At 40.2% G+C, this 10,551-nt stretch overlaps 1 protein-coding gene across 1 annotated transcript in view, besides 2 other annotated features; it reads left to right on the top strand.

The window, feature by feature from the left end:
• The window catches only part of SOX6 (SRY-box transcription factor 6), a 772,029-nt gene that overhangs the window by 61,791 nt on the left and 699,687 nt on the right, over positions 1-10,551 (top strand). The gene's annotated exons all lie outside the window — the stretch shown is intronic.
• Positions 6,152-6,653: an enhancer, noted in NCBI's record as "H3K27ac-H3K4me1 hESC enhancer chr11:16691581-16692082 (GRCh37/hg19 assembly coordinates)". NCBI's record gives its function as "activates a minimal SCP1, AML or CMV promoter by ChIP-STARR-seq in naive H9 embryonic stem cells {active_cell/tissue: H9 hESC(naive)}" and the evidence as "EXISTENCE:reporter gene assay evidence [ECO:0000049][PMID:30033119]".
• Positions 6,654-7,155: an enhancer, noted in NCBI's record as "H3K27ac-H3K4me1 hESC enhancer chr11:16691079-16691580 (GRCh37/hg19 assembly coordinates)". NCBI's record gives its function as "activates a minimal SCP1, AML or CMV promoter by ChIP-STARR-seq in naive H9 embryonic stem cells {active_cell/tissue: H9 hESC(naive)}" and the evidence as "EXISTENCE:reporter gene assay evidence [ECO:0000049][PMID:30033119]".

The raw sequence follows: 10,551 nt of genomic DNA, 5'->3' as shown, positions 1-10,551 counted from the left end.
GTTGAACTATTAGATGACTACTAAGTTCATGGGACAGAATTCAGTAGCTACATGTGACGAAGAATACAGACTTTACAAAATTTGTTTAGAAAAGTCACTAACTAAACAAAACAACTACAACAAGAAGCAACAAAAAACCCCAGAGAAGGTTGAAGATTCTGATTTCCAGAGATTTCACATTATACTTGTCAAAGTATCAGATATTCAACAAGTATAAAGAAATGAGAACATATGGCCCATGGACAGGAGAAAAGGAAATTAATAGAAACTATTCCTGAGGAAGCTCAGACATTGGATTCACTAGACAAAGATTTTATATCAATTATTTTAAATATTCTCAAACAGCTAAAGGAAACAATTTGCAAATAAGGAAACCATGAGACTGATGTCTCACCAAATAGTGAATATCAGCAAAGATGTAGAAGTTATAAAAAGGAACCAAAGAGAAATTATGGTGTTGAGAAGCATAATAACTGAAATGAGAAATTCACAAGAAGTGTGCAAATCACATTTGAGCAGGCAAAAGAAAGAATTCATGAAACTGAAAATAGGTCAGTTGAGATTATGCTGAAGATCAGGAAAATGAATGAATGAAAATGAGCAGAGCCTCAGAAACCTGTGGGACTGTTATGCATAGTTGGAGTCCCAGAAGAGAGGAGAGAAAGGGACAGAAAGAATGCTTAAGGAAATAATGGTTTAAAACTTTCGAAATTTGACAAAAGACATAAAGCTATACATCAAAGAAGCTCAACAAACTCCATGTAAGATAACAGAGAGCCACACCAAGATAAGTTATAATTAAACTATTAAAAGCAAAAATAATCTTAAAAGTAGCAACAGTGAAGTGACTTATGTACAAGAGAGCCTCAATAAGTTAACAGCTAATTTTTCATCAGAAATCATGGAAGCCAGAGAGCAATGGGATGACATCTTCAAAGTAATTGAATAATCCACAAGAATTTTGTATCTGGCCAAACTATCTTTCCAATATGAAGGAGAATTTAAGACATTCTTAGACTGACAAAAACTGAGTTTATCTCTAGTAGACCTTACCTACAAAAAATGACAAAGGGACTTCTTCAAGCTGAAATGAAGGGACATTAGACAATAACTTGAACCCAGACAAAGACATAAAAAAATCACTCATCAAAGAACTACCTATTTTTGGTTTGTAACTCTTCTCTTTTTTCTAAACTTTTAAAAGATAATAGCATAAACCAATAATTGTATATCTATGGCTGGATGTGGTGGCTCATGACTGTATTTTTAGCTACTCAGGAGGCTGAGATGGGAGGATCACTTGAGGCCAGGAGTTTGAGATCAGCCTGGGCAACATAATGAGATCCCATCCCTAAATATAATTTAAAAAAATAGCTGGATGTGGTGGCACATGCCTGTAGTCCCAGCTACATGGGAGGCTGAAGCAGGAGGATCATTTGAACCAAGGAGTTCAATGTTGCAGAGAGCTACAATAATTCCTAGGTATTGAACTTTATGTGTGATTACTGTAAATGGGATTATATTTTTTGTTTCTTTTTCAGATTGTTCACTGTTGGCATATAGAAATGCTACTGATTTTTGTATGTTGATTTTGTATCTTGCCACTTTATTGAATTTGCTGATGAATTCTAGTAGTTTTTTGTGGAGACTTCAGGTTTTTTAAATATGTCAGCAGACAAGGATAATTTGAGTTAGTCGTTTCCAATTTGGATGCTATTTATTTATTTATTTAGACAGAGTCTCACCCTGTCACCCAGGCTGGAGTGCAGTGGTGTGTGATCTCAGCTCACTGCAACCTTCCTCTGCCTCCTAGGTTCAAGCAGTTCTCCTGCCTCAGCCTCCTGAGTAGCCGGGACTACAGGTGTGTACCACCACGCCTGGCTAATTTTTGTATTTTTAGTAGACATAGGGTTTCGCTTTGTTGGCCAGGCTGGTCTTGAACTCCTGGCCTCAGGTGATCTGCCTGCCTTGGCTTCCCAAAGTGCTGGGATTACATGTGTGAGCTACCATGCCCAGCCTTGGCTGCCCTGGCCTCAGGTGATCTGCCTGCCTTGGCTTCCCAAAGTGCTGGGATTACATGTGTGAGCTACCATGCCCAGCCTTGGCTGCCCTTTATTTCTTTCTCTTGTCTGATTGCCCTAGCTAGGACTTCAGTACTACGTTGAATTACTGTGGTGAAAGTGGGCATCCTTGTCATGTTTCAGATTAAAGATAAAAGGCTTTCAGTTTTTCCCCAGTCAGTATGATATTAGCTGTGGGTCTTGCAAATATGAGTTTTATTATGTTGAGATATGTTCCTACCATACCCAGTTTTTTGAGAGGTTTCAGCCTGAAGGGATGTTGAATCTTATCAAATGCTTTTTCGGCATTACTTGAAATAATCATATGGTTTTTGTCCTTCATTCTATTGACTGATTTGAGTATGTTGAGAGATCCTTGCATCCTCGTGGTAAATCCCACTTGATCATGATGAATGATTTTTTTTTTTTTTTTTTTTGAGATGGAGTCTCACTCTGTCGCCCAGGCTGGAGTGCAGTGGCACGATCTCGACTCACTGCAAGCTCCACCTCCTGGGTTCACACCATTTTCCTGCCTCAGCCTTCCGAGTAGCTGGGACTACAGGCGCCCGCCACCAGGCCCGGCTAATTTTTTGTATTTTTTAGTAGAGACGGGGTTTCACCATGTTAGCCAGGATGGTCTTGATCTCCTGACCTTGTGATCCGCCTGCCTCGGCCTCCCAAAGTGCTGGGATTACAGGCATGAGCCACCACGCCCAGCCGATGAATGATATTTTTAATGTGTTGTTGAATTTGGTTTGCCAGTATTTTGTTGAGGATTCTTGCATCAGTGTTCATCAGGGATCTTGGACTGTAGTTTTATTTTTTTGATATATCTTTGCCTGGTTTTGGTATCAGGGTGATACTGGCCTCATATAATGAGTTTGGAAGTATTCCCTCTTTCCTCTACTTTTGGTTTTTTTTAGAATAGTTTGAGTAGGATTGATATTAGTTCTTTAAATGTTTGGTAAAATTCAGCAGTGAAGCCATCAGGTTCTGGGCTTTCCTTTACTTGGATACTTTATTATTGCTTTGAGCCCATTACTTGTTATTAGTCTGTTCGAGATTTCTTCATGGCTCAATCTTGATAGGTTTTATGTGTCTAGGAATTTATTTATTTCTTTTGGTGTTTCAATTTATTGGCATACATATACTTGGTCATGGTAGCCTCTAATTATCTTTTGAATTTCTCTGATATCAGTAGTAATGTCTCTTTTTTCATCTCTGATTTCATTTATTTGAGTTTTTTCTCTTTTTTTCTTAGTCTGGCTAAAGATTTGTCAATTTTGTTTATATTTTCAAAAAGACAACGTTTTGTTTCATTGTTCTTTTGTATTCTTTTCTTCATTTCAATTTCATTTATTTCTGCTTTGACCTTTATTATTCTACTAATTTTGGGCTTGGTTTTGTCTTGCTTTTCTAATTCTTTAAGACACATTGTTAGGTTATTTGAAGTTTTTCTCTTTTTAAAATGTAGGTGCTTATAGCTATAAACTTCCCTCTTAGTACTGCTTTCACTTTCACTGTATTCCATTGTTTTGTTTTTGTTTTTGTTTTTGAGGCAGAGTCTTGCTCTGTCGCTCAAGCTGGAGTGCAGTGGCATGATCTCAGCTAACTGCAACCTCCGCCTGCTGTGTATATATTTAGGATAGTTAGATCTTCTTGTTGAATTGAACACTTTATCATTATGTAATTCCCTTCTTTGTCTTTTTTGATATTTGTTGGTTTAAAATCTATTCTGTTTGAAATTAGGATTGCAACCCCTGCTTTTTTCTGATTTCCATTTGCTTTGTAGATTTTCTTCCATCCCTTTATTTTGAGCTTTGAGCCTGTGAGGGTCATTACATGTGAGATGGGTCTCTTGAAGGCAGCAGCAGCAACCACTGGGTCTTTGATATTATTTGGCTGTTATCCCACCCAAATCTCATCTTGAATTGTAACTCTCACAATTCCCATGTGTCATGGGAGGAACCTGGTGGGAGGTGGTTGAATTATGGGGGCGGGTCTTTTGTGTGCTGATAGTGACTTAGTCTCATGAGATATGACAGTTTTAAAAACTGGAGTTTCCCTGCACAGTTTCTCTTTTTGCCTACTGCCATCCATGTAAGATGTTACTTGCTCCTCCTTGCCTTCCATCATGATTGTGAGGCCTCCCCAGCCACATAGAACTGTGAGTCCAATTAAATCTGTTTGTTTTGTAAATTGCCCAGTCTCAGGTATGTCTTTATCAGCAACATGAAAATGGACTAATACAGTTTTGTGTTTTTATCCAGCTTTCCACTCTGGGCCTTTTAAATGGGGCGTTTAGCCAATTTGCATTTTAGGTTAGTATTGATATGTGTGGGTTTGATCCTGTCATTGTGTTGTTAGCTGGTTATCATGCCAGCTTGTTTGTGTGGTTGCTTTATAGTGTCACTGGTCTGTGTATTTAAGTGTGTTTTTGTATTAGGTGGTAACATTCTTTCCTTTCTATATTTAGTGCTCTTTTCAAGATCTCTTGTAAGGCCGGTCTGATGGTAACAAACTCCCTCAACATTTGCTTATCTGAAAAGGATCTTATTTCTCCTTCACTTAGGAAGCTTAGTTCGGCTAGATATAAAATTCTTGGTCGAAGATTTTTTCTTTAAGAATGTTGACTGTAGGCCCCCAATCTCTTCTGGCTCATAGGGTTTCAGCTGAAACATCTGGTGTTATCTTGAGGGTGTTTCCTTTGTAGGTGACCTGCCCTTTCTCTTTAGCTGCCATAACATTCTTTGTTTCATTTCAACCTTGGAAAATCTGATGGCTGTGTGTCTTGAGGATGATATTCTTGTGTAGAATCTTTCAGGAGTTCTCTGTATTTCCTACATCTGACTGTTGGCCTCTCTAGCCAGGTTGGGGGAGTTTTCATGGATGATATCCTGAAATATGTTTTCCAAGTTGTTTGCTTTCTCCTCCTCCCTTTCAGGGATGCCAACGATTAGTAGATTTGGCCTCTTTACGTGACTCCATATTTCTTGGGGCTTCTGTTCATTTTTTTTCATTTTCTTTTCTTTATTTTTTTCTGCCTGTCCTATTTCAGAGAGTCAGTCTTCCAGTTCTGAGATTCTTTCCTCAGTTTGGTCTATTCTGCTGTTAATACTTATAATCGTATTGTGAAATAATTGTATTGTGTTTTTCAGCACTGTCAGATCTTTTAGGTTCTTTCCTGTACTGGCTATTTCATCCTTCAGCTCCTGTATCACTTTATTGCAATTCTTGTTTTCTTGGATTGGGTTTTGCCAGTCCCCTGAATCTCAATGACCTTCATTCCTATCCATATTCTGAATTCTATTTCTGCCATTTCAGCCAGCTCAGCCTGGTTAAGAACTTTTGTTGGAGAACTGGTGTGGTCATTTGGAGGTCATATGACACTCTTGCCATTTGAGTTACCAGAATTATTGTCTTGGTTCTTCCTCATCTCTGCATGTGGCTATTTCTTTAACTGCAGTGCAGATTGAGTATAGTCAATACACTTCTTTTCTGGATGTTTTCACAGGGCTGAGGCTTTGTGCAGGATCTTTATCTGTAGCTTACTTTTTGTCTTTTGTTTCATAGTGGGGTATGTTAGTGAGGTGCTTTTGGTGTTGAAGATTTGGGATATGATTTAGTAGGTGACACTTAGATGTATTGGTCAGTTGGTAGGCTCTTGCTTAGTCATGTGACTTTCCTATATTTCCTCACAGTTGCAGCCGTGATCCCTCTCATTGAGTGATGGGGACTCCTCTTCCCATTGAGTGATGGCTGTAGTTCATGGCTTTGCACTCCTGGGCTGCCCACTGCAGCTCTGGCATGATCTCAGGGCTTATGTTTCTTCCCCAACTTGGAGGCAGCCGAGGAAGGGACCTCAGTAGTGGTTGTGGCCAAGGGTCTTTTGTTTGTCTTCGGAGGGCTTCACCCCAGAGAAATGCAGGTCAGCAACTGCTCTGCAAACAGTGCAGTATGAAGTCTGTGCTGTGGGCCCAAGTTGGGGGTTCCCTGTCTGGTGACAAGAGGGGGTGTGGGTGTGATCTGTGGGAGATAGACTGGCCTCCTCTCCTTGGACTAACTGCAGTTTGTTGGAGGTGTGAATAAAGCACTTAGGGTCTTTGCTCCTTCGTTAAGCCCAAGTGTAGCAAGGGCAGTTTCACTGCAGAGGCAGTGGCAGAGAGGATTTCAGTTGCTCTTGGGGGCTACCCCTCCAAGAAACATGGAGTCACTGTTACTGGGGGTGTTCAGCCAGTGGGGTGGGGTGGCTGTACTGCTGGTATGAGCTTGGAGGTCTGCTTATTGGGGAGGAGGGGGTTGAAGGCTCGCAGGGAGGAGAGATTGGTCTCTTCTCCATATGGTGTGTATGGTGCACTGTAAGCTTGGGCATAACCCTCAATCTGTTTGTTTCTTCCCCAGACCAAGGCATCAGGGATAGAACTGTTACTGTGTCAGTGGCAGAGGGGCTGTTTTGTGCTTCTGGGATCCTCTCCCCAGGGAAACTCCAGGCACTACAAGTAGGTATGCTCAGCCATGGGTGTGGCAGCTGCTTTGTGTCCATGAGTTGGGGGCCTTGCCTGGTGAAGGGCGGGGGTAGGGATTCCCAGGGAAGGGGGCTGGACTCCTCACCCTGTGGTAGCTGTGGTATGCTGGGGATGCCAGCATAATGACTCAGCCCTTTGTTCCTTCCTAGTTTGAGGGTTGTTAGGTTGTATGACTGCAACTGTAGTGGCAGAGCAGTTGCAGGTTGACTCTGGGATTTTCTCCTCAGAGAAGTGCTGGGCTGTCTCTGATTGTGGTGATCAGGTGGGGGCAGGGTGGTTGTGTCAGAGTTCCAGGTTGTGTGGCTCTGTCAAGTAAGGAGAAGTGAGGACTGGGATCTGCATGGAGAACAGTCTGGCCACTTTTCTGTGAGGTGGTTGCTCTGTGCTGGGGGTTGGGATGAGCCCCTGATTTCCACAGACTCTCCCAAGCCTGGAGACAGCAAGGGCAAGGGCTGTAAGAAAGCAAAGATGGCAACCCACCCCTCCCACTGGGAGTTCTGTCCAGGGAATTGCAGAGATGCCCCTGGCTCAATAGCCCCAGCCGGGTATGGCTGGAGGCCCAGGGCCTGGAGAACCTGCCCAGTGAGGAGATATGGGAACAGGCACCCATGTGACACTCCAGCCACTTTTCTGTAGGGCTGCTGCAGTATGCTGGGGGTGTGCTGCAGTCCCTAGTTGTCTTGGATTTTCCAGTACCACTTCCCTGGGTGGGGGAGGTTCCCTTGGCTCCATGTTGCTCTAGGATGGGCTGTTGTCCTGCCTTGTTTGAAAAGTTTTAATTTTCTTTTTAATTTCTTCATTGAACCCCTGTCATTCAGGAGCATATTGGATAATTTCCATGTATTTTTATTGTTTCCAAGATTCCTCTTGTTATTGATTTCCTTTTATTCCATTATGGTCAGAGAAGATACTTGATATAACTTCAATTTTTTTTCAATTTTTAAAGACTTGTTTTGTGGCCTAACATATATATGGTCTATCCTTGAGAATGATCCATGTGCTGAGGAGAATGATTTTTCTGCAACCATTAGATGAAATATTCTGTAAATATCTATTTGGTCCATTTGCTCTATAGTGCAGATTAAGTACAGTGTTTCTTTGTTTATTTTGTGTCTGAATAATTTGTTCAGTGCTGAAAGCATGGTGTTAAAGTCTCCAGCTAATATTGTATTGGGGTCTATTTCTCTTCTTCATGCTAGTAATATTTGCTTTATATATCTGGGTGCTCCAGTGTTTGGTGCATATATATTTATAATTGTTTATCCTCGTTGACCCCTTTATCATATAATGACCTTCTTTATTTCTTTTTATACTTTTTGTCTTGAAATCTATTTCGTCTAAGTGTAGCTACTCCTGCACTTTTTAGTTTCTATTGGCATGGAATGACTTTTTCCATTTTTTGATTTTCAGTCTATGTGTGTTTTTATAGGTAAAGTGTGTTTACTGTAGGCAACAGATTGTTGGGTCTTATTTGTTTAATCCATTCATCTGTTCTGTGTCTTTGACTGGAAAGTTTAGTTTATGTACATTCAGTATTATTATTGATAAGTAAGGGCCTACTCCTGATATTTTGTTATTTGTTTTCTGGTTGGTTTATGGTCTTCTCTTCCTTCTGTCCTTTCTTCCTGCCTTCCTTTTTAGTGAAGGTGATTTTCTCAGATGATAATTTTTAATTTCTTGCTTTTTATTTTTTGTGTATCTGTTTATTTATTGATTGATTGATTTTTTTTGATGGAGTCTCCCTGTGTCACCCAGACTGGAGTGCAGTGGCATGATCTTGGCTCACTGCAGCCTCTGCCTCCCATGTTCAAGCAATTCTCCTGCCTCAGCCTCTGGAGTAGTTGGGACTACAGGCATGCACCCCCATGCTGGCTAATTTTTGTATTTTTTAGTGGAGACGGGGTTTCCCCATGTTGGCCTGGCTGGTCTTGAAGTCCTGACCTCAAGTGATCCACTGCCTTGACCTCCCAAAGTTCTGGGATTACAGACGTGAGCCACCACGCTGGTCTGTTGTATGTTTTTTGGTGTTACCATGAGGCTTGCAAATACTATCTTATAACTTATTATTTTAAACTGATAACTTGACACTGATTGCATAAACAAGCAAGCAAACAAACAAGCAAAGAGAAAATGAATAAAAGCATTACACTTTAACTTCATCCCCCTGCTTTTTAACTTTTTGTTGTTTCTATTTATATTTTATTATACTATTTTTTGAAAATTTGTTGTAGTTATTACTTTTGGTGGGTTCATCTTTTAGTCTTTCTACTGAAGATTTGTGTAGTTTATGCACCACATTTACAGTGTTATAATAATCTGCATCTTTCTATGTACATACTATTACCAGTGACTTTTGTACCTTAAGATGATTTTTTCTTGTTCATTTAACATCCTTTTCTTTCAGATTGAAGAACTCCCCTTAGCATTTTTTGTAGGATAGGTCTCATGTTGATGAAATACCTCACCTTTTGTCTGAGAAAGTCTTTATTTCCCCATGTTTGAAGGATATTTTCACTGGATACACTATTCTAGGATAAAAGTTTTTTTTTTTTTTTCCTTCAGCACTTTAAATAATTCATGCCACTCTCTCCTGGGTTGTAAGATTTCCACTGAAAAGTCTGCTGCTAGACATATTGGAGCTCCTTTGTATATTACTTGTTTCTTGTCTCTTGTTGATCTTAGGACTGTATTTTTAACCTTCATCCTTGATCTGAGGGAGTTTGCTTATTAAATATCTTGATGTAGTCTTCTTTGGGTTATATCTGCTTGGTGTTCTATAACCTTTTTGTATTTCAATATTGATATATTTTTCTAGGTTTGAGAATTTCCCTGTTATTATCCTGTTTTGTTTTGTTTTCTTATTGAGACAGGGTCTGGCTGTTGCCCAGGCTGGAAAGCAGTGGTGTGATCTCGGTTCACTGCAAACTTCATCTTTTGGGATCAAACCATCCTTCTACCTCAGCCTCCTGAGTAGCTGGGACTACTCAGCTGGGACAGGTGTGCACCACTATGCCTGGCTAACTTTTTTTTTTTTTTAATTTTTTGGTAGAGATGGGATTTTGCCATGTTATCCAAACTGGTCTTGAACTTCTGGACTTGGCTTCCCAATGTGCTGGGATTATAGGCATGAGCCACCATGCCCAGGTGTTATTATATTTTGAATAAACTTTCTGTCTCTCCCTCTACTTTCTCTTTAAGGCCAATATTTCTTAGATTTGCCCTTTTAAGACTATTTTCTAGATCTCATAGGCATGCTTATTTTTTATTCTTTTGTCTCCTTTGACTCTATATTTTCTTTTTTTTTTGAGATGGTGTCCCACTCTGTCATCCAGGTTGGTGTGCAGTGGCACGATCTCGGTTCACTGCAACCTGTGTTCCTAGGTTCAAGTGATTCTCCTGCCTCAGCCTCCTGAATAGCTGGGATTATAGGCACCTGCCTAGCTAATTTTTGTGTTTTTAGTAGAGACGGGTTTTGCCATATTTGCCAGGCTGTTTTCAAACTCCTAATCTCAAGTGATCTGCCTGCCTTGGCCTTCCAAAGAGCTGGGATTACAGACATGAGCCATCACACCCAGCCGACTATATATTTTCAAATAGCCTGTCTTCAAGCTCACTAATTCTTTCTTCTCCTTGATCAATTTTGCTGTTAAGAGACTCTGATGCATTATTCAGTATGTCATTTGCATTTTTCAACTCCAGAATTTCCATTTGATTCTTTTAAATTATTTCAATCTTTTGTTAAATTCATCTGATAGGATTCTGAATTTCTTCTCTGTGTTATCTTGAATTTTATTGAGTTTCCTCAAACAGCTATCTTGAATTTTCTTTCTGAAGGGTCACATATCTTTCTCTCTCCAGGATTTGTCATTGGTGCCTTATTTAGTTTGTTTGGTGAAGTCATGTTTTTGATCATGTTTTCCTGACGGTGTTGATGCTTGTGGATGTTTGTTGGTATCTGGGCACTG

The sequence above is a fragment of the Homo sapiens genome, chromosome 11 (assembly GCF_000001405.40).
Source record: "Homo sapiens chromosome 11, GRCh38.p14 Primary Assembly".
Lineage (NCBI taxonomy): Eukaryota > Metazoa > Chordata > Mammalia > Primates > Hominidae > Homo > Homo sapiens.
The sequence above is the reverse complement of the archived record's forward strand: the minus strand, read 5'-3'. Positions and strand labels throughout refer to the sequence as shown.